Here is a 23,932-nt window from a genome sequence, read left to right on the forward strand (position 1 = left end):
AGGATCACCTGAGGTCAGGAGTTCCAGACCAGATCAGCTACTCGGGAGGCTGAGGCAGGAGAATTGCTTGAACCCAAGAGGCAGAAGTTGCAGTGAGCTGAGATCACACCATTGCACTCCAGCCTGGGCAACAAGAGTGAAACTCCCTCTCAAAAAAAAAAGGCTCCTCAGCTGGGCACGGTGGCTCATGCCTGTAATCCCAGCACTTTGGGAGGCTGAGGTGGGAAGATCACCTGAGGTCAGGAGTTCGAGACCAGCCTGGCCAAAATGGCAAAACCCCATCTCTACTAAAAATATAAAAAAATTAGCCGGGTATGGTGGCGGGCACCTGTCATCCCAGCTACTTGAAAGGCTGAGGCAGGAGGATCGCTTGAACGTGGGAGGCGGAGGATGCAGTGAGCTGAGATCATGCCATTGCACTCCAGCCTGGGTGACAAGAGCAAAATTCCGTCTCAAAAAAAAGAAAACAGAAACAAACTCCTCACATAGCTGCTGCCACCCAGTGCATTTCCCTGGACAACCCCAGGGGCTAGATGTTCAATGAGTAAATACCCCCATACAGGTTGTGGGCACCTGGTTGTCCAGCCCGAGGCCAGGGATCCCAGGTCACACCCTTGATCAGGGAGGGATCAAGGTGCTTCTGCCATGCCCAGGATTGAGAACTCTGTGGATGCAAAGAGGGGTGGGTGGGAAGCCTGGTGTGGTGGCTCACGCCTGTAATCCCAGCATTTTGGGAGGCTGAGGTGGGCGGATCACATGAGGTCAGGAGTTTGAGGCCAGCCCCGGCAACATGGCAAAACCCTGACTCTACTAAAAATACAAAAATTAGCCAGGCATGGTGGCCGCACCTGGAGTCCCAGCTACTCAAGAGGCTGAGGTGGGGGAATCGCTTGAACCTGGGAGGTGGAGGTTGCAGTGAGCCAAGATTGTGCCATTGCACTCCAGCCTGAGCAATAGAGCAAGACTCTGTCTCAAAAAAAAGAAAAAATTGCAATTCCCTAATGACTTATGACATTGAGTATGTCTTCCTATGCTTATTTGCCATCTGTATATCTTCTTTGGTAGGGTATTCTTCTTTGGTAGACCTATCTGTTAAGGTCTTTTGCCCATTTTTAAGTCAGGTTGTTCATTTTCTTATTGAGTTTAAAGAGTTCTTTGTATATTTTGGATATTAGTCCTTTTTCAGATATGTCTTTTACAAATATTTTCTCTCATTCTGTAGTTTGTCTTCTCATTCTCTTGACAGTTTCTTTTGCAGAGCAGACATTCTTAATTTTAATAAGGTCCAGGTTTTTAACTATTTCTTTCATAGATCATGCCTTTGCTGTTGTATTTAAAAGGTCATTGCTTTTAAGAGGTCATCTCAATTTTCTACTATGTTAACTTGTAGGAGTTTTATAGTTTTGTATTTGACAGTTAGGTTTATGATCCATTTCAAGTTAATTTTTGTGCAAGGTGCAAGGTCTGTGTCTAGATTCATTTTTTCACATGTGCATGCCAGTTGTTCCAGCACCATTTGTTGAAAAAACTGTCTTTTCTACTGACACTTGTTCCAATTAAAAAAAAAAAAAAGAAAAAAGAAACTGTATTTTTTTTTCCATTTAAAGCCTTTGCTCCTTTGTCAAAGTTCAGTTGACTCTATTTATCTGGGTCTATTTCTGGCCTTTCTGTTCTGTCCCATTGATCTATTTGTCTTGGCTGGTTTTTTTTTTTAGAAGAAATTGTTATATAGAAGAGAAATTAAAAAAGAGGCCAAATAGACTGTAGGTAAATTATTCTCATTTTAGATGCTTTAAAAAAGTCCATGATACAACCGAGGCACTGAATGAAGTTTAGCATAATGATAATACTAGTATAATTATTTGAAAATGTCTCGGCCGGGCACCGTGGCTCATGCCTGTAATTCCAGCACTTTGGAAGGCCAAGGTGGGCGGATCACCTGAGGTCCGGAGTTCAAGACCAGCCTGGCCAACATGGTGAAACCCCGTTTCTACTAAACTATAAAAAATTAGCCAGGCATGGTGGCGTGTGCCTGTAGTCCCAGCTACTCGGGAGGCTGAGGCAGGAGAATGGCGTGAACCCGGGAGGTGGAGGTTGCAGTGAGCCGAGATTACGCCATTGCACTCCAGCCTAGGCAGCAGAGCGAGACTCCGTTTCCAAAAAGAAAAGAAAAAAATAAAAATAAAAAGGATTTTTTTTTCTTTTTTTTGAGACAGAGTCTCGCTCTGTTGCCCAAGCTGGAGGGCAGTGGCGTGATCTCAGCTCACTGCAACCTCTGCCTCCCGGGTTTAAGCGATTCTCCTGCCTCAGCCTTCCGAGTAGCTGGGACTACAGGCACATGCCACCATGCCCAGCTGATTTTTGTATTTTTAGTAGAGGTGGGGTTTCGCCATGTTGGCCAGTAAAAAGGACTTAAGATCCTTAAGGTATTCAAATTTTCAGGGTCTCCTGAAGCCTCATCTGATAATTTCTCCAGTGTTTTCAAACAGAAAAGTATTACCATTGATTCTTACTTTTCATTGATCACACATACACCTTTTGGGTGGCAGTGGGTGAGGGGGGTGCTTTCCAGTGAAGACCAGAAAACCTGCTAGACAAATTCTAATAGAGCTGTAACACTCATGCACCTTTCTTAGTAGTAAGGCATATGACATTATTCAGACAAAGCTTCCATGGAGAATAAAATGTTATATAATTTTCACTTCCACTTTCCAGAAGAAATCCCTTTCTTCCCGTTTTCTCTGTGATCCCTTCCAGATCTATGGTGCACTTGCATACTGACTGGCCACTTTAGATCATGTAGTTAAGAACAGCCTTATCTTTTCAAGGGAGACTGCGTAGGGTATTGGGTGAGAGTGTGGGCTCTGATCCCAGTTTCTTGAGTTCACATCTTACTATCTTCCAGTCTGTGACCTTGGGCATGTTACTTAACCGTTCTGTTTCCACCTGTTTAAAATGTAGATAATAATAGTCATTATATCACAAGGATATGAATGTGTGTGTGTGTGTTTTATCTTAGAAAAGAACCTGTATATGATAAGTGTTCAATAAATGTTAGGTATGATTATTCAACAAATGGTATTCAGTGCTGGACCCAGGCAATACACTGATTACACCATGAGCAAGATTTGATCCCTGCCCTTTTTTCTCAGAATATGTTTCCTGGTGCTCAGGTCATATTGAAATTTGCTATGTTAATTTGGGTTTGACATTTTTTATTTCATTTTGTAGTTGAAGTCAAGTGATTTTGCTGTTCTGAAGCAGTTGTTGCCTCTGTTGGAGAAGGTATCCAACACATACCCTGATCCGGTCATCCAAGAACTCGCTGTTGATCTCCGCATCACCATCTCTACCCATGGAGCCTTTGCCACTGAGGCCGTCAGCATGGCTGCCCAAAGTACACTGAACAGAAAAGATCTGGAAGGGAAAATAGAAGAGCAGCAACAAACCAGTCATGAAAGACCCACTGATGTAGCTCATAGCCACCTTGAACAACAGCAGAGCCATGAGACAGCCCCCCAGACAGGCCTGCAGTCAAATGCTCCAATCATTCCTCAAGGAGTCAATGAGCCCAGCACTACTACAAGTCAGAAATCTGGAAGCGTAACCACAGAACAGCTCCAAGAGGTTCTTTTGTCAGCTTATGACCCTCAAATTCCAACACGGGCTGCTGCCCTGCGTACTCTTTCCCACTGGATAGAGCAGAGAGAAGCAAAAGCCCTTGAGATGCAAGAGAAGCTTCTCAAGGTGAGTAGAACACACTGTAAAGACACATGGGCACAGGGTGGGGCATTCATTCAACTCAAGTATTTTTGGAGCCTGGACTATGTGTCAAGTGCTGTTCTGGACCACCCTCCAGAAATTTGTGAATTTTGTGAGGAGGCAACACTTAGACACAGGAAAGATTTATTTAGACACAGGAAAGACTTAAACTCCTCAAATGAATATGAACTGAGTGCCAATTTTTTTTTTTTTTTTTTTTTTTTGAGATGGAATCTCGCTCTGTCCCCCAGGCTGGAGTGCAGTGGTGCAATCTCGGCTCACTGCAAGCTCCGCCTTCTGGGTTCACACCATTCTCCTGCCTCAGCCTCCCGAGTAGCTGGGACTACAGGTGTCTGCCACCACCCCCGGCTAATTTTTTGTATTTTTAGTAGAGACGGGCACCATGTTAGCCAGGATGGTCTCGATCTCCTGACCTCGTGATCCACCTGCCTCGGCCTCCCAAAGTGCTGGGATTACAGGCGTGAGCCACCACACCCATCCTTCAAAATTTTTGCATGCAAGAAATGCTGTGGGCAGTCAGGAAAAAGAGAAAGTTGAAATCTTCTGGAGGATGTAGGCCTTAATATGGCCATAACAAACTAGTAAAGTTTGAGCAGATGAAAGAGGGGTGGGATAGCTTGAACAAATTCCCAGAGATGGGAAAGTACCTTTTGTGATAAATAGGTCTGCTTCAACACTGTGACCCAGCCCAGATAAGCCACCTGTTTTCTCTGGGCATCTTTAGTGGGGCGTTGGGCAAAACTGGGTCTCCTCCCCTCTTCTCTCCCTTCATCGTGGTGAAATAGCTGTTTTTTGTTTTGTTTTGTTTTGTTTTTTTGAGACAGGGTCTCGCTCCGTCGCCCAGGCTGGAGTGCAGTGGTGCGATCTCAGCTCACTGCAATTTCCACCTCCTGGGTTCAAGTGATTCTTCTGCCTCAGCCTCCCAAGTAGCTGGGATTACAGGTGCCCACCAACACACCCAGCTAATTTTTGTACGTTTAGTTGAGATGAGGTTTCACCATGTTAGCCAAGCTGGTGTTGAACTCCTCACATCAAGTGATTCACCTGCCTCGGCCTCCCAAAGTGCTGGGATTACAGGCATGAGCCACCGCGCCTGGCCTTAAATATCCTTTTATACACCTATTTGAAGGTGAATTCAATGAACATCTTGGAATTTTTTTTAGCTTAATTAAACCTTCTTCTGCTGTACATAATTGGTCACCAAGTCCTGTCAATTCTTTTTTCAAAGAAGTCTTTCAAATGTATCTTATCCTCTTTATTTCCATGGCCATTACCCTAAATTAAGCTTCCCTTGCTTACTCCATAAAAGATTCCCTACCTTCAAAACTGGCCGTCTTCCTAACTGGGGTAATTTTAGGCTCTCCGTACATACTTCACATGTAGAGACCAGCAGCATCAAGTTGATGTCAAGAATTACTGTGCCAACGAAGAACACAGCATTATATATGGAGCAGACACTTCCGTCTTCCTTTCTCTGGCTCTCATGTTGGGGCCTAAACCTAACATATCATGTAATATCTTCCAGATAAGCTGTACTCACTGTAGTTGATACCCCTGATAGGTTCCTAAATTGTAAGATATTTTGAGAGTAATTTGTTACTAATATCAATTAAAGTGCTGAAATTTACAAGATTTTCAAAAATAAATTAGAACAGATTCAAAGTTATCTCAATAATAACATCTCTATCTCACTTGCACTTCCATATGCTTTGTGAGTACAAGAGAAAAGGATCAAATTGCAGCAAATGTGCCATCCATTGCACATAACCCCAAACCTTGTCTCTTGTGTGTCACACCCCGTAGTCTGTCATGCCATATGTGAGAATGTTATTCACCATGGCTGTCATGGAAAAATGTTGAGGATTGTTCTTCCATCGGTTTCCAGGACTACTGCTGGAAGAATACAAGTATCTCCCCCAGTCTCTATACTTTTTTAATGGTTATAAAAATGAGACTTAAGCATATATGCCATTTCCCCCACAAAACTCTGTCAGACCAGTTTCTACCCAAGAAAAACAAGAAGCGAAGCATTTACTCCTTTGAGCTGCTGATAAGGGAGCCTCTTAAATCTTCCTTGTTCTTTGTAAATCTTATCACTGCTGTATTTTGTGGTTCCAGATATTCTTGGAAAACTTGGAACATGAAGACACTTTTGTATATCTATCTGCAATTCAGGGTAAGTCAGTCCTGGTTAAAGGACTTTAAGTATGTGGACCAGAGACTGTATCATGTTTATTTGCACAAAATCTCTAAAGTCCTAGGGCCAGGAGACTACTGGTCATTTTGTCCGTCTTCCTGCCTCCTAGCTAGGACACTTTAAGTCATAATAATAATATTCCTGAAGGGTTTCCAAAGAGTCCCTATAGAGTTTCAGTGTCTCATAATGATGAGGAAGTTTTTATTAATGTTTACATATTCTGTAGATTAAATCGTATTTCCTCTAATTCAAGGAGGTAAAGAATGACTCACACATGAACTCTTATCACATTAACCTTTTATGTTAGTCGGCTACTGTCTTTTTTTTTTTTTTTTTTGAGACAGAGTCTCGCTCTGTCACCCAGGCTGGAGTGCGGTGGTGTGATCTCAGCTCACTGCAACCTCTGCCTCCCGGGTTCAAGTGATTCTCCTGCCTCAGCCTCCCAAGTAGCTGGGATTACAGGTGCCCGCCACCACGCCCAGCTAATTTTTTATATTTTTAGTAGAGACAAGGTTTCACCATGTTAGTCAGGCTGGACTCGAACTCCTGACCTCCAGTGATCCACCCACCTTGGCCTTCCAAAGTGCTGGGATTACAGGCGTGAGCCACCACGCCCAGCCTCAACTACTGTCTATATGCACCTTTGCTCTCTCGTTAAGCTAAAAGAACTCAGGGTATTAAATATTTTCTTATCAAAAAATTTTTTGCAGTAACTTTATTTCTCTTTTTATGGTTCTTTGTTGTTCTCCACATCCCCTTTAACTTGTGGGCTCCAAATCTAGAGAGGATGTAGAGAATAAGGCACCCTTCCCAAAAGGTCCAGAAGCAGACATGGTGAGGTCAGAGTTAACTCAGTTTCCCTTGGCTCCATCAGCGAGGTACAGTCAACAGACCACCTGGGTTGGCCATCCCATTACCATGCGTTGGCAAATTACTTAATCCCTGTGGGCTTCAATTTTTTGTTATCTGTGAAAAGGGGACTAAATAGGAATGTGAAATGGTACTGCCACTTTGGAAACCAGTCTGGCAGTTCCTCGAAAAGATAAACATAGAGTTACTACTTGGCCCAGCAATTCCACTCCCAGGAATATACCCGATAAATGAAAACATATGTCTGCACAAAACCTTGTGTGTGAATGTTCACAGCAGTATTATTCACAATAACCAAGAGGTGGAAATAGCTCAAACAACCATCAGTTGATGAATGGATAAACTAAATGTGGTATATATATGCAATGGAATATTATTGGCTATAAAAATGAAGGACTGATACATGCCACAATATGGACGAACCTTGAAAACATGGTAAGTGAAAGAAACTGGCCACAAAATACTATATTTTATATGATTCCAGTTACATGAAATATCCAGAATAGGCAGTTTTTTAGAGACAGAAAATAGATTAGTGCTTTCCTAGGGCTGGGGTAAAGGAGAGATAGTTGAGGGTGATAGGTAAAGGATACAAGACTTCTTTTTGGGGTGATGAAAATGTTCCCAGATTCTTGCACAGCTCTGTGAGTATGCTAGGAAACCATTGAGTTATGCACTTTTTTTTTAAGATGGAGTCTCACTCTGTCGCCCAGGCTGGAGTGCAGTGGCACAATCTTGGCTCACTGCAACTTCCGCCTCCCGGGTTCAAGCGATTCTTGTGTCTCAGCCTCCTGAGTACAGGCATCAGCCACCACGCCCAGCCGAGTTACGAACTTTAAATGGGTGAGTTGTATGGTATGTGAGTTATAGCTCAATAAAACTATTATCAAAAAAATACAATAAAAAAAATTTTTTTTTTTTGAGACGGAGTTTCACTCTTGTTGCCCAGACTGGAGTGCAATGGCACAATCTCAGCTCACTGCAACCTCCGCCTCCCGGGTTCAAGCGATTCTCCTGCCTCAGCCTCCCGAGTAGCTGGGATTACAGGCATGTGCCACCACACCTGGCTAATTTTGTATTTTTAGTAGAGACGGGGGTTTCTCCATGTTGGTCAGGCTGGTCTCGAACTCCTGACCTTGGGTGATCCACCCGCCTCGGCCTCCCAAAGTCCTAAGATGATAGGCGTGAGCCACCGCACCTGGCCAAAATAAAATTTAATTAAAGGGGAGAGGGCTAAAATTGTCAGAGCATAAGGAAATATGATGACTAAATGTAATGTGATAGATGGGATTCTGAAATAGAAAAACAACATTAGGACCGGGAGCAGTGGCTCATGCCTGTAATCCCAAGCACTTTGGGAGGCCGAAGCAAGCAGATCACTTGAGATCAGGAGTTTGTGACCAGCCTGGCCAACATGGTGAAACCTGATCTCTACAAAAAAACACCAAAAAAAGTTAGCCAGGTGTGGTGGCGGGCACCTGTAATCCCGGCTACTTGGGATGCTGAGACACGAGAATTGCCTGAACCCAGGAGGCCAAGGTTGCAGTGAGCCGAGATTGCACCACTGCACTCCAGCTTGGGCAACAGAGTGAGACTCCGTCTCAGAAAAAAAGAAAAAAAAAGGACATTAGGGGAAAACTAAGGAAATTTGAATAAATTATAAACTTCAGTTGATAATAAAGTGTCAATATTAGTTTACTATTCTATCATAAAATGTTTATTAATAAAAAGGGGGCTTAATATTAGGATTAAATGAGTTAATTCCTTGCAACTGCTTAGCACAGTGTTCAATATGTGTTAGCTATTAATATTTTAGTGTTGTTATCATCATCAGAATCTTCACTATTACGTCTACTGTTGGATGACTAGGTAATAATGTGGTGATCTCTGTAACTTCTCAGATCTGAAGCCTGAGTAGGCCGATTCTGTCAGTTATTGATATTTAACAAACTACTCTGTGGCTCACGCCTATCATCCCAGCACTTTGGGAGGCCGAGGTGGTTGGATCACCTGAAGTCAGGAGTTCAAGACCAGCCTGATCAACATGGTGAAACCCTGTCCCTGCTAAAAATACAAAAATTAGCCAGGCATGGTGGTGTGTGCCTGTAGTCCCGGTTACTTGGGAGGCTGAAGCAGGAGAATTGCTTGAACCCAGGAGATGAGGGTTGCAGTGAGCCGAGATGGCACCACTGCACTCCATCCTGGGCAGCAGAGCAAGACTCCTTCTCAGAAAACAGCAACAACAACAAACTACCCTGACACTCAGTAACCTGAAACACCAATCATTTATTATCACTCACGCATCTGTAGACCCACTGAAGGTTCAGCGGGGCTTGGCTGGGCAGCTGGCCCCTCCCAGCAGGTCTCAGGCCAGCTGTGGTAGCTGTGCTTCATGTGTTCCTGATCATCCCTGAACCAGTGGCCTACCAGGGCTTGTTCTGCTCATGGTGAGAACCATGAAGTGTCAAAGAGAAACCATAAATTCCTCCTCAGGCCTGACTCGGAGCAGACATCCTATCATTCTGCCTTATTCTGTTGGCTAAAGCAAGTCATGAGGCCCAACCCAAAAGTCAAGGGATAGAGAAATATATGCTGTCCCTTTAGTGGGACACACTACCAAGTCACATAGCAAAGGGCATTGATGCAGTAATGCCCTTCTTCACGTTGATGTGTTCTGTTTACCTCCCAGAGGCAAGGTTGTCAGTGAGCACAAAGGTAAGTGCAGGTTCTTACTGGCTAATTCTTTCAGGGTTTAATGTGGATATGCTCTATACAGACTTAGTACTTGAAGCTTAAGAGAGCATGCAGAGGGGAAATCGTATAGCAAAGAAGGCCTGAGCCTTGGAATTCTGGAATTTTTTTTTTTTTTTTTTAGAGACAGAGTCTTGCTCTGTCACTCAGGGTAGAGTATAGTGGCATGATCGTGGTTCATTGTTACCTCTAACTCCTGGGCTCAAGCAGTCCTACCACGTCTGCCTCCTGAGTAGCTGGGACTACAGATGCATGCCAACACACATCAGGCTAATTTTTTAAAAAACATTTTGTAGAGATGGGGGTCTCACTATGTTGCCCAGGCTCAAACTCCTAGACTTAAGCAATCCTCTTACTTCAGCCTCCCAAAGTGCTGGGATTGCAGGCATGAGCCACTGTGCCCAGCCAAATTCTTTCTTTATTCAACAAAAATTTTGTATATCTCCTATATACAAAACACTTTAGATTAACTGAAAGTTGTAATTAGGTTCAAAAGCAAAAAGAGAATTATTCAAAGAGACAAAATGACCACCCAAAGTGGTAAAGGACAACTAGGTGAGAACGAAAGCTCTACGAGTAACGGGTTTCAAGAGAGAAAGTAATTACCTGCAGCTGAGAGGCCAAAGAGTGCAGGAATTGAGATAGGCCTGGGGGTCCAGGAGGCCACATGACCATAAGTTGTGCTTATGGAAGTCAGATAAATCAAAGAAGCAAGAACCTAAAGTGCTTATAATTCAGAAGTTTCAGAACACAAGTCATCCTGTACTTTCCCCAAGAAACTGTACTACTGTCAAGGAGATGTTTTTCATTGATTTATTTTTTTTAAGACTGGATTTTTGGGAATGGGTGGCATGTCATTCTAATGTGACCACTTTGCTGTTTGGAATAAGCGTCTTAGTTGATTAACCCACTGAGCTCATTAGCCTCTAGGGCCTGCTATCAAAATCGCAGCTGTTGGTGTTGTGTTTGTTTTTAGTAATTTTCGTTGGTGTGCAAATCAGTTACTAGCTAATTTGGTGATGAAGAACATGAGGGGTAGAGGCGTAATTTCTGTTCTCAGCTCCCCAAGATGATGGACAAGTTTGGACTAATTGATGTTTTTGGTGTTTGTAATATGCACTTAAAAGCCAAGGCTTCAGGTGAGTTTCCCATTAAAGAAAATAGCTGAATTTTCCCACCTGCATTGCCAGTGTAGTTTGCCTGGGCCTAAAGCACTACAGGAACAAAGCCATTCTGGGCTCCCAGTCAGACAAGACCAGCCCACTTGTCCTGTAGTACAGGATGGGGAGTGCCTGGTTGTGGTTTGAGTAGCATTCAGTTGTGGGGACTGTGTATTTTTAAAGTTTTCCTTTTTTGAGCTGCCCAAATGGCTCCATGTGGAAGTTATAGTGTACTTTTTGCTTAATTTATTGATGTTTTATATTTCTTTTATAAAGTCTTACCAACTTTGCAGTCTAGGTGGAGAGCAGAAGAGAATAAAATACAGCAGTTCATTCAACGGCTATATATTGATGCCTGACTTAGAAATTTCTGATGTCTATATTATCTATCACAGCAATCTGAGAACTCAATACCCTAGGAGTTAAATTTAATTTTAGGAAAAACTGTGTGTATCTCTGTTTATTCTTACTGAGAAGCAGTGGTTGACTTAGTCATTCTAGCAGCTTCTCCCAGGTACTCAATAACAGCTTCTTCAGGCAGAGAATTATGTATAAAGTCTCTGAGTTCCGGTTACCCTATAGAGTTTACAGATAGAGAACTTAATCTTACACAGACAAAGATAAATGTCTCCCCTTTTGTATTCCTTGTATATTCTTTCTTCACTGTTTTTATCATCATTATTATTATACAAGTAATATATTCTCAATGTTTTTAAAAAATTTCAACAAGAATGAAGTATATAAGGTAAAAGGCAGAAGCCCTTCTCTTTTCCAAAATGGGAGTTAGAATATGTCCTTGAAGGCTAGGCTCAGTGACTCATGCCTGTAATCCCAACATTTTGGGAGGCTGAGGTGGGAGGATTGCTTGAGCCCAAGAATTCAAGACCAGCCTAGGCAACATAGTGAGACCTTGTCTCCACACACACAAAAATAAAAATTAGCTAGGTGTGCTGGTGTGCACCTGTAGTCCCAACTATTTAGGAGGCTTAGGTGGGAGGATCACTTGAGCCCAGGAGGTTAAGGCTGCAGAGAGTCATGATTGCACCACTGCACTCCATCCTAGGTGACAGAGTGACACCTTATCTCAAAAAGAAAATTTAAAAAAAGGATACATCTTTGAGATTCCCATAGTGTACATTAGATATTTGGGCATTTTTTCACATTTTAGTTTTGAAATAGATGTTCAATAATGAGTATGATAAATAAGTGATATTCTTCAATAAGACATAGTCAGATTATTTCTTTTTTTCTTTTTTTGAGACAGAGTTTCTTTCTTGTTACCCAGGCTGGAGTGCAATGGGCTTGGCTCACTGCAACTTCCACCTCCCGGGTTCAAGCAATTCTCCTGCCCCAGCCTCCCAAGTAGCTGGGACTACAGGTGCCCACCACCATGCCCGGCTAATTTTTTTGAATTTTTAGTAGACACAGGGTTTCACCGTGTTGGCCAGGTTGGTCTCAAACTTCTGACCTCAGGTGATCCACCCGCCTCAGACTCCTGAAGTGCTGGGATTACAGGCGTGAGCCACCGCACCCTGCCTATAGCCAGATTATTTCTATACTGTAGATCTGTTCATATGTCCTCTCAGTCACTTTCAATTATTTAAAGGGTATTTTGAAAACAACAGATGCATTTTGGGGATCCAAGTGGTCCCTCTCAGTGTCAAAAGGATCTTTGGATAAAACTACCAGCCTTCTTTTAAAAGAGAAAAAAATAAAAAAAAAAAACCACCTGGGCTCTGGGCCAACCATGGGAGGTGAAAGCATGCCAGTGTGTAGAGTGAAGAGATCTAGCCATCTTGACATGCCCAAACAAATCACACAAGCTCTTCCACCCTCTTCCTTTCAGAGAAGAGCTTTCATTTCTGGCAAAAGAGCTGAGTGGAGGGAAGGCAAAAGCCCGGAAGGGGGAAGGTAGATACAAGATGAAATTGTTTTCACAGAGTTTCAAATTGAGCAGGATTACAAGTCTTAACTTGTCAGGGCCTGAATCTCTATCTCATTCTCAGATTTCTACCTCAAATAAAATAAGTTGAGAAACCACTAACTGAAAATAATTCTGTCCCTTGAAGGATCATCTAATTGGACCTGGCATGGAAATTTGGAATGCAGTCCTGCGAAGTTTATCATCTCCATTTATGTCCTGGAAAAGGGAAGATTTCTTTTACATCCTGACCTGGTTTCTGTACCACTTACTTAACAAATAAGCATTTAGAGAATGTCTCTCATATATGGTCTCTCAGTAAATTCTCTAAGTAGTTCTGGGAAGTAGACATTATCTCCATTTTTAAAACTTCTTATTTGAGATGTAATTTACATACCTAAAATTCACCCAATTAAAACATGCAAGTCAGTGGTTTCTAGTGTCTTTAAAGAGTTGTGCAACCATCACCACTATCTAATTTTAAAACATTTTTATCATTTCATACCCATCAAAAGTCACTTCCCCTTGCTCACTCCCCCAACCCCTGGCAACCACTGATCTATTTTTTAATCTCTATGGATTTGCCTATGCTGGACATTTCATATAAATGGAATTATACAATATGCGGTCTTTTTTGTCTGGCTCCTTTCACTTTAGCATAATGTTTTTGAGGTTTGAGGTTTCCTTTTTATGACTTCATTCCTTTTTATGACTGAATAATATTCCATGGTATTGCTTAGCCATGTTTTATTTATCCAGCTCATTAATTGGTGGACAACTGGTTTGTTTCCACTTTTTGGCTATTATGACGAGATCAGGCGCATTCGGGGTGGTATCCCCGTAGACTTGGCTATTATGAATAGTGTTGTTAGGAACATTTGTGTACAAGTTTTGTGTGAACGTATGTTTTCATTTCCCCTGGGTATATACATATACCTAGGAGTGGAATTGCTGGATCGTATAGTAAGTCTATGTTTAGCCTTTTGAGGAACTGCTGGACTATTTTCCAAAGCAGATATACCATTTTACATCCTTACCAGCAATGTATGAGTGTTCCAATTTTTCCACAGCTTTGCCAATACTTGTTATTGTCTGTCTTTTTATCAAAGCTGTCGAGGTAAAATAAAGTATAAAGGTGAATCTCTATATTTAAAACATCTTATTTGAGAAGGAAGAATTGTAATTTGGTGCATACATGCAGACCTAATGGTCTTCCATATGTCTGAAGAACAATGAGAAGGTTGGAGGTTTTGTAAACAGGAGAAATGTTACATTTTGTTCTGGAGAAAGATCATTGGGACTAGTAAAGTTTTGGAGATCTGGCAAGCTCTGATTAATGAGTGACAGCAGTGGGTAAAATGAGTCTTAGAGTCACAGTAGGTTTGTTTCAGTAGCTATTAGATAAAACTGGCTTTAGGCTACAACAGGCAGTTTCAAAAGCCAGGCTTATAGGGAATTATATTTTTGGAGCAACATTATGTGCCTTGTTTTTTTTTTCCCTGGTCTCTCAACTCCATTTTAGTTGGATATGAGAGGCATGACCCAATTAATATGATCCACTTTCACATTTTCCCCTTTTGATTAAGATCTTTTTTTGAAAGCATTGCCAATTAACTACTTATAAGTTAGCTTAATTGTCCCTCAGAGCTAGGATGGACCTGTTCTGGTTGTCTCTGTCCCACATCAGCAGGGAAGTATGGGGGCTTATGTCAGTGACCTGGGCCACATTTGAGTAGCAGAGTCCAGAAGGAAAAGTGTTCCTAGGGTACATTGTTCTAGAGTCAATTATCAAGTTCTATCTTAACAGTTCTATAAGCATTAGCAATCATCTCGAAGGATTGGGTTAACATTACTTTGTTGGGAGAGCTGGCATTATAAAGATTAAACAAGCAGTAAGAACAAAGCCGGCCAGTCATGGTGGCTCACACCTGTAACCCCAACACTTTGGGAGGCTGAGGCAGGAGGGTCTTTTGAGCCCAGGAGGTCAAGGCTGCAGTGAGTTATGATCACACCACTGCACTCCAGCCTGGGTGACAGAGTGAGACCCTGTCCCCAAAAAAAAAAAAAAAAAAAGCAAACAACAATAACAACAACAAAAAAAACCTTAAAAGTTATAATATAAAAAATAACAACAATATAATAAATTTAGTTTGTAAAATGCTTTTGAACTAAGAGCCCAAGACTAAGGGCAACAAACTAAACAAATTAAAAGACCATGGTGGTTAGCCGGGTGTGGTGGCAGGCGCCTGTAATCCCAGCTACTTGGGAGGCTGAGGTAGGAGAATCACTTGAACCCGGGAGGCGGAGGTTGCAGTGAGCCAAGATCGCGCCATTGCACTTCAGCCTGGGGAACAAGAGTGAGACTTTGTCTCAAAAACAAAAACAAAAACCATAGTGGAAACTGGGTGAGACCTGTAGTTGTCATTAAGTAGTATTTTATGACTTGCTTGCATTAAACAGAAAATTGCCAACTTTAGAAAAGGGACCACCAGTACAATTTGAACAGTAAGTTGTGTTAGGGATATTGTCTAAGCTGTCCACTAGGTGTACTAAAAGGAATTTTTTTTTTTTTTTTTTGCCATAAAGCATGGATATTTTATTCTAGGAAACGGAAAAAACAAAACAAAACAGGGAACACATCTTTCCACATACCATTCCAATTTAACTGACATTAATTCAGAAAAGCTAGAGCAGATATGCATGTGCATATGTATAAATATGTATATGTATATACACACGTACATATTTTCAGATTTTAATCTCATTGGTGTTCATATCTTGATTACATGATTTTTAAAATAATTATTTGCAACTTCACACATCTCATAGTTGTCTATGCAGTCTCTTTTTGCAGTCTGCTTCAGTTTCTAGTGTGCTGTACATATCTACATCTTCTGGGTGGGACTGCCTGTGATTCATGAACTTGGGGTCAGGCATAAACTGTGTAGCACCTGAGCTGGATTCTGATTTGGTCTGACTACAAGGATTTTTTTAAAAATATAATTAATTTCCTTCCCTCCCTCCCTTCCTTCCTTCATTTCCTTTCTTTCCCTTCTTTCCTTTCTCTCTCTCTCTCCTTCCTTCCTTCTTTTCCTTCTTTCTTTTCTTTCTTTCCTTTCTTTTTATTTTGTTTTTCCTTCCTTCCTTTCTTCCTTCCTTCCTTCCTTCTTTTCTTTCTTTCTCTCTTCTCTTTTCGTTTCTTTTTTCTTTTCTTTTCTTGACAGGGTCTCACTGTGTCACCAAGGCTGGTCTCAAACTCCTGGGCTGAAACTACCCTCTGCCTCGGCCTCTCAAAGTGTTGGGATTACAGACATGAGCCACCAAGCCTAGTCCTAAAAGGATTTTTTAGGTCAGATTTTTGTCAGGTTATCAATAACAGTTATTGACTGTGAAATTTTAATTACAGCATCTTATCAAATGAAAAGAGGAGCATTAAGGGAAGTAAGGGTCTCATGATATGTGGAGTCTTGTTTTGACATCTTAGGAAAAGCTGTTTGCAGCCTGGACAATGTCCACTTCTCATCCTGGTTTGTAGTTTGAATGTCACTGGTTAGGGCATTGGACAGTTTGGTGAACTTTCTATGTGGCCTATACATCAGGCCGACAGGCACAAAACTTGTTTATAAAAATTTCTCAGGTTTTAGCTTATAGGGCTTTAGGAACAGAGCAATTCCCTTTTTAGTAATTTTATGAAAGAAACTTGGATTGTAGGAACTTGGGAGATTTTAGGACCTAGACTACTCAAAAATAGATAACAATAACTTGAAAACAGTGTACAGAGTTATATTCTAATAACAGGTATATTATAGCTTTCTTTTGGGAACATAATTTATTTTTTACATTGAAAAATAAAATATTTCCTATTGAAATATAGGAATCTCACATTTAAACAGTCTTGCGGCTGGGAAGCCAAACGAAGGCAGACTTTGCATTTATTTATAGTCTTAAAGTTTCTGGGCCTGCCAGAAAGTGACAGTTTTATTTACTTACTATAAGGCTGGGAACCCTTGAAGTCAGGCATTTTATGTGTATTTTTAAATATGACATTTTAGTCAAAGCCTTGGTAATATAACTAACATTTAAGAGCAGAATTTTATTGGGTTTATGTAAATAACCATATTGTCCTAAGAATATTTAGAAATAGTTTTTGAATTTTGGAGGGATTAAGTAAGGAAAAGAAAAAACATGTTTTTATCTTTGTTTACAAAAGTACACTCTGTCAACTTGTTGGAAATGATACATAGCTTAAGAGAAATTTTTTTTAAATTGGGGAAACAAAGTATTTGCATAAAGTAACAATGTTTTAAATAAAAGTCATAAAACAGTTAATCTCATAATTAACTCCTATTTGATCTCTATTAGTAGTTTTATGAATCTATTAGGTTTTTTTTTTATTAGAGTCTTGGAAATTTGTATTGAGTCTGTTGATTTTAAAGTTATCAGAACTGGGCATGGTGGCTCATACCTGTAATCCCAGCACTTTGGGAGGACGAGGTGGGTGGATCACTTGAGGACAGGAGTTTGAGACCAGCCTGGCCAATATGGTGAAAACCCCATCTCTACCAAAAAATACAAAAATTAGCCAGGCACAGTGGTGCATTCCTGTAGTCCCAGCTACTTGGGAGGCTGAGGTGGGAGAATCACTTGAACCTGGGAGGTGGAAGCGTCAGTGAGCCAAGATTGCACCACTGCACTACAGCCTGGGTGACAGAGCAAGACTGTCTCTGAGGGAAAAAAAAAGACAACTTAGGTTTGATTTTGGGGAAGTTTCTCAAAGATATTAAAAGGCTGAAAATATTTGATGAAAACAGAATTACAGTTGGGCATAGTGGCATGTGCCTGTAGTTGCAGCCACTTGGGAGGCTGAAGTGGGAGGATTTCTTGAGCCCAGGAGTTTGGGGCCAACCTGGGCAACATAGGAAGACCCCCCATCTCTTAGGGGGAAAAAAAACAGAATTACAGGTTACTGTAAAATTATAGCCATTTATTTAACCAGCGTGATAATCAAAAGACTTTAAAAGTAATGTAGAGCCAGGCACGGTGGCTCACACCTGTAATCCCAGCACTTTGAGAGGCCGAGGCAGGTGGATCACCTGAGGTAAGGATTTCAAGACCAGCCTGGCCAACATGGCGAAACCCCATCTCTACTAAAAATACAAGTTAGCTGGACGTGGTGGCAGGTAATCCCAGCTACTTGGGAAGCTGAGGCAGGAGAATCTCTTGAACCCGGGAGGCAGAGGTTGCATTGAGCCGAGATCATGCCACTGCACTCCAGCCTGGGCGACAAGAGCAAAACTCCATCTCAAAAAAAAAAAAAGTTACATGGATGTTAAAACCTTAATCCTTTTAAAGCTCAGTTTTTTAAAAGTGATCAAAAACATAAGGCAATGCAGAAAATTATCATGGTAAAATGTAAAGTCTTTTTCTTTACCGAAAAGGTAAAGAAAAACCTCTTACAGTGTGATTGTTTTTTCTAAAGGGAATCTCATTTAGATAACATGGAAATCAAACCTGATGAAAAGATTGTTTGAATTTAATCTGACATAGGAAGAATGGGTCTAGGTTATAAGAGTAACAATTTAGATACATCAAGGAAAGTGAGGAATACAGAATCAAATTATATTGGAGGAAAACATTGCTTTTTTAGGCCATTAAGATAAACACTTTCATGTCAGGCCATAATGGCAGAGTTAGAACTGGAGAAAAAGTTCAGGAGCTGATGACAAAGTTGAAGGAGAGAGTTATCATCTCAGGCCTTTTTAAGGGGAGAAAATGCTAAATGCAGTGATGTATGACCTATAAATCACAAGTAGCAAGATACTGCAAAAGTCAAGCCTCTGAAATATGAATCTGAGAAATTTTATTTCATTTATTTAATTTTTAATTTTTTTTTTTTTTTTTGAGACAGGGTCTGACTGTCACCCAGGCTGAAGTGCAGTGGCACAATGTCAGCTCACTGGAACCTCCACCTCCTGGAGTTCAAGCAGTCCTCCCACCTTAGACTCCCGAGTAGCTGGGACTACGGGCATATGCCACCACACCCAGCTAATTTTTGTGTTTTTTGTAGAGACAGGATTGTGCCATGTTGCCCAGACTGGTTTCAAACTCCTGGGCTCAAGCAATCAGCCTGCCTCAGTCTCCCAAAGGGCTGGGATTACAGGTGTGAGCCACTATGCCTGGCCTTATTTATATTTATATTCTTATTTTTATTTTTTATTTCTCTTTTTTTCTTTTTTTTCTTTATTTTATTTTATTATTTTTATTTTTTGAGACAGGGTCTTACCTTGTCACCCAGGCTGGAATGCAGTGGCATGATTAAAGCTCACTGCAACCTGAATCTGAGAATTTTTTTTTTTTTTTTTTGAGACAGAGTCTCGCTCTGTCACCCAGGCTGGAGTGCAGTGGCGCAGTCTTGGCTCCCTGCAAGCTCCGCCTCCTGGGTTCACACCATTCTCCTGCCTCAGCCTCCCGAGTAGCTGGGACTACAGGTGCCTGCCACCACGCACTGGCTAATTTTTTGTGTTTTTTAGTAGAGATGGGGTTTCACCATGTCAGCCAGGATGGTCTCAATCTCCTTACCTCGTGATCTGCCCTCCTTGGCCTCCCAAAGTGCTGGGATTACAGGCGTGAGCCACCGCACCCGGCCAAGATATTTTTTTTTTAACAGTGTCTGTAAAGTATTGTCTTGGTCTCAATTTTTTGCCCTTTAAGATAAGAATCTCCTCATTCCTTTTAGTATGGAAAGGGGGTCTTTTATATGAGAATTTTATTTTTTGCTTTTAAGAAACAGCACGAAGGTCAAAATAATATTTTTTAAAATATCTGCTAGTTTTTACGTGTTTTTTACTTAAATTGTCAGCATGCCAGCCTAGCTGAGGAGTTTTGGAAAAAGAGAGTTAGCTTAGAGCAAGAGAGTAAGAAGGAATTCTAAGAAGGGGAGGGGCAAGCTCCAAAGAGGAGAGTCTCAACCAACTTTGAGATAGTATTTTATAGCTAGTCAGTCTTTGAGTCCGGGTTGGGTTTGGTTTTTTTAGCCTAAAGATATCCCTTGAGATATGAGTCTTATTTGGAATGTATGATTTTATTGCCATGGTCTTTTAGTTTAGTTTTAAGAACAACAGACTGCATGATCCCTGTAATGTTTGAACATGTTACCAGCTGGAATCTCAAAATATATCTTGGCATGTCTTTGAACTTTGAGAGCCCATTTGTAATTAAACTTATCTAGGTGACTCAGTTTAATGTTGAATATACAAAAGCCAATTAAATGCAAGTGTTGAATATGCAAAAGCCAAATAAACACAAGTGCTGATGGAAAATAAAGTATGTACTTACCAAGAGGACGATCAGCTGCCTTTCCCAACTGAAGGGAAAAGGAAAAATTCTTTCACCCAGGCCTCAACCTGGAGGAAAAATATCTCTTCACTCAGACCTCACAGCTGAGGTCTGCCAGGAGGAAAAGAGTCCTCCCCAACAGATGATCTCCCAACCAGAGAGAGACCCCCCTCCAAATAAGAGGAGGAAAGACCCTTCTCTAAGCAAATCCCAAACAAAACAGAACTTTACCCAAAGCAGGAGTGCCATCCAGGAGACTCACCAGGGAACACCTAGCTGACTCGTGGGAGAGAGGGTGCTCAAAGGCCCTCAATGTGAGTACCTTATGTCATAGTTCCAAGGGCCGATGATTTTTCCCAAGGTGAGTCAGGTTTGGAATCCCACTTCTGACACCACATATGTCAAAATCAAATAAAATATAAGGACAAATCTCTAAATTTAAAACATTTTGCAGAAGCAAGAATTGCAATTCAGGGCATACACAGACAGGGTGGTCTTCCATATGTCTGAAGAACAAAGATAAGTTTAGAGGTTTGGCCGGGCACGGTGGCTCACGCCTGAGGCAGGCAGATCACTTGAGGTCAGGAGTTCGAGACCAGCCTGGCCAACATGGTGAAAACCCATGTCTACTAAAAATACAAAAATTAGCCAGGTGTGGTTGTGCACACCTGTAATCCCAGCTACTCTGGAGGCAGGAGAATCACTTGAACCCAGGAGGTAGAGGTTGCAGTGAGCTGAGATCAGGCCACTGCACTCCAGCCTGGGTGACAGGGCGAGACTCTGTCTCAAAAACAAAAAAGAAGAAGAAGAGGAAGAAGTTTGGAGATTTTATAAAAAGGAGAAATGTTACATACTGTTCCAGAAAGAAAGTTCATTGGCACTGTAAAGTTCTGAGCAGCTGACAAGCTCTGAGGAGTGACAGTGGTGGGTAAAACTAGTCTTAGAGTTGCAGCAAGTTTGTTTCAGTAGCTAAGATAAAACTGGTTTTAGGTTACTTTTTTAAATTTCTTTTTTATTTTATTTTTTTTTAATTTCTTGGTTTTAGGTCACAATAGGGAGTTTCAGCAGCTGGGCTTGTAGGGAATTATACTTTTGGGGCAATATTATGTGCACTGCGTGCTTTGTTTCCCTGGCCTCTCAACTCTTAGGTGGGTATGACAAAAATGACCAAATTTGTTTGATCAGCTTTCACATAGCCACCCTAATGGGTGTGAAGGGGTATCTCATTGTGATTTGATTTGCACTTCACTCATGACTAGTGATGTTGAAGATCTTTTTATGAGTTCATTGCCCATTTGTAAATCTTCATTAGAGAAGTGTCTATTCAGATTCTTTGCCTTTTTTTTTTTTGAGATGGAGTCTCACTCTGCTGCCCAGGCTGGAGTGCAGTGGCATGATCTTGGCTCACTGCAACCTCCACCTCCCAGGTTCAAGTGATTCTCCTGCCCCAGCCTCCTGAGTAGCTGCGATTACAGATGCCTATCACCACACCCAGTTAATTTTTGTATTTTTAGTAGAGACAGGGTTTAGCCATGTTGGCCAGGCTGGTCTCGAACTCCTGACCTCAGATGATCCCCCGCCTTGGCCTCCCAAAATGCTAGGATTATAGGCGTGAGCCACTGCGCCCAGCCTCTTTGCCCATTTTTAATTTTTTTTTTCCTTCCTATCATTGAGTTATAACAGTTCTTTATACATTCTGGAGAAAAGTCCTTTATCAGATGCATGATTTGCAGATATTTTCTGCCATCCTGTGGATTGTCTTTTCTCTTACATAATGGTGTCATTTGAAACACAGAAGTTTTTACTTTCAATGAAGTCTAATTTCTGTTTCTTCTTCTTCTTCTTTTTTTTTTTTTGACACTGAGTCTTGCTTTGTCGCCCAGGCTGGAGTGCAGTGGCACGATCTCGGCTCACTGCAAGCTCCGCCTCCCGGGTTCACGCCATTCTCCTGCCTCAGCCTCCCGAGTAGCTGGGACTACAGGCTCCCACCACAATGCCCGGCTAATTTTTTTGTATTTTTTAAGTAGAGACAGGGTTTCACTGTGTTAGCCAGGATGGTCTTGATCTCTTGACCTCGTGATCCGCCCACCTCGGCCTCCCAAAGTGGGGGGATTACAGGCGTGAGCCACCGCGCCCGGCCTTTTCTTTTCTTTTAAGACAGGGTCTTACTCTCACCCAAGTTGGTGTGTAGTGGTGCGATCTTGGCTCACTGTGGCCTTGATATCCCCAGGCTTACTACAGCCTTGGCCTCCCACCTCAGCCTCCCAAGTAGCAAGTAGCCAGGACTACAGGTGCACACCACCATGCCCAGCTAATTTTTGTATTTCTTGTAGAGACAAGATTTTGCCATGTTGCCCAGGCTGGTCTGAAACTCCTGGGGTCAAGTAATCTGCCTGTATCAGCCTCCCAAAATGCTGAGATTACAGGTGTAAGCCACTGTACCCCACCTAATTTCTCTTTCATTGCTTGCACTTTTGATATCATTTCTAACAAATTGTTGCCTAGCCCAAGATAATGAAGATTTATTTCTGTGTTTACTTCCAATAGTTGTACAGATTTCACTCTTACATTTAGGTCTGTGATCCATTTCGAGCTAATTTTTGGATGTGATGTGAGATATCCCCATTTTATAGGTGAAAATTCTGAGGCCTACATGAGTTAAGTTCGTTTTTCAAGATTACACAGCAAATAATTTGAACCATGTTCTTGGCCTCTTAATCTTAATCTTAATCTTATTTTTCCCCCAGTATGCTAGGTTACTTCTCTAGAGCTTTCAAATGATGATAGAAATTGGCCATGTTGTTCTATCTTTAAAATTTAAAGGCTGGGCGCAGTGGCTCACGCCTGTAATCCCAGCACTTTGGGAGGCCGAGGCAGGCGGATCACGAGGTCAGGAAATCAAGACCATCCTGGCCAACATGGTGAAACCGTCTCTACTAAAATTACAAAAATTGGCCAGGCATGGTGGTGTGTGCCTACAATCCCAGCTACTCAGGAGGCTGAAGCAAGAGAATCGCTTGAACCAGGGAGTCGAAGGTTGCGGTGAGCCAAGATTGTGCCACTGTACTCCAGCCTGGCGACAGAGTAAGACTCCGTCTCAAAAAAAAAATTAAAAAGATGTATTATGATTGTCAATAATATTTATTAAAATTAAATAATGCTTAATTATCTAGAAAGCTTTGATTCTGTCAACAAGCCTGAAATATAATAAGACTAGATATTATAACCCATCTCTTTTTTTTTTTTTTTTTTTTTTGAGACAGAGTCTCCCTCTGTTGCCCAGGCTGGAGTGCAGTGGCGTGATCACAGCTCACTGCACGCTCTGCCTCCTGGGTTCAAGAAATTCTTCTGCCTCAGCCTCCCAAGTAGCTGGGACTACAGGCACACACCAACATGCCCAGCTAATTTTTGTATTTTTAGTAGAGATGGGGTTTCACCGTGTTGGCCAGACTGGTCTGAAACTCCTGACCTCAGGTGATCCGCCTGCCCCGGCCTCCCAAAGTGCTGGGATTACAGGTGTGAGCCATCACGCCCAGACTACAACCCATCTTTTATAACTGAAGAATTGACTTGCCTACAGTCACAGAAGTTGGGAGAGTGATGGAGCTGGGATCAAGCCATTTTACAGGGATTCCCAGTCTCTTGTACCTTATCTTACTACAGTGCAGCTGATATATATATATATATATGATGCCTTCTTTCCCTCTCCCAAGCCAGAGATTGCATTTCAAAGCCCACAACACTTGAGTTTTACACTAGCTTCATTTTTTGAATATCTGTCCAGTGGTTTCCTTTATCAATCAAAGATTGATACATTCAAATTTGCATCAGAATATTTAACAATTTAGTACTTACATGTAAGTAAAAGATGAACCGGCTACTTCACTGTTAGCTATTTTCACTTTCCAAGATTGC

The 23,932-nt window shown here is 41.7% G+C and overlaps 1 protein-coding gene and 1 pseudogene across 5 annotated transcripts in view; one reads left to right on the forward strand and one right to left on the reverse strand.

Annotated features, from left to right (window-relative positions):
* TANGO6 (transport and golgi organization 6 homolog) overlaps positions 1 to 23,932 on the forward strand; it is a 241,652-nt gene that overhangs the window by 80,806 nt on the left and 136,914 nt on the right. For 4 of the 5 annotated variants that reach the window (NM_024562.2, XM_047434632.1, XM_047434633.1 and 1 more), the window contains 2 exons: positions 3,232 to 3,747; positions 5,902 to 5,959. In NM_024562.2, the coding sequence (NP_078838.1) occupies positions 3,232 to 3,747; positions 5,902 to 5,959 (574 nt within the window). Of the gene's footprint in view, positions 1 to 3,231; positions 3,748 to 5,901; positions 5,960 to 12,830; positions 13,112 to 23,932 lie in introns of those variants that run through there. The other variant, XM_011523327.4, reaches the window with a different exon arrangement.
* Positions 2,562 to 2,621, reverse strand: RNU7-42P (RNA, U7 small nuclear 42 pseudogene; annotated as a pseudogene).

This window comes from Homo sapiens, chromosome 16, assembly GCF_000001405.40.
Source record: "Homo sapiens chromosome 16, GRCh38.p14 Primary Assembly".
In the NCBI taxonomy this organism is placed as follows: domain Eukaryota; kingdom Metazoa; phylum Chordata; class Mammalia; order Primates; family Hominidae; genus Homo; species Homo sapiens.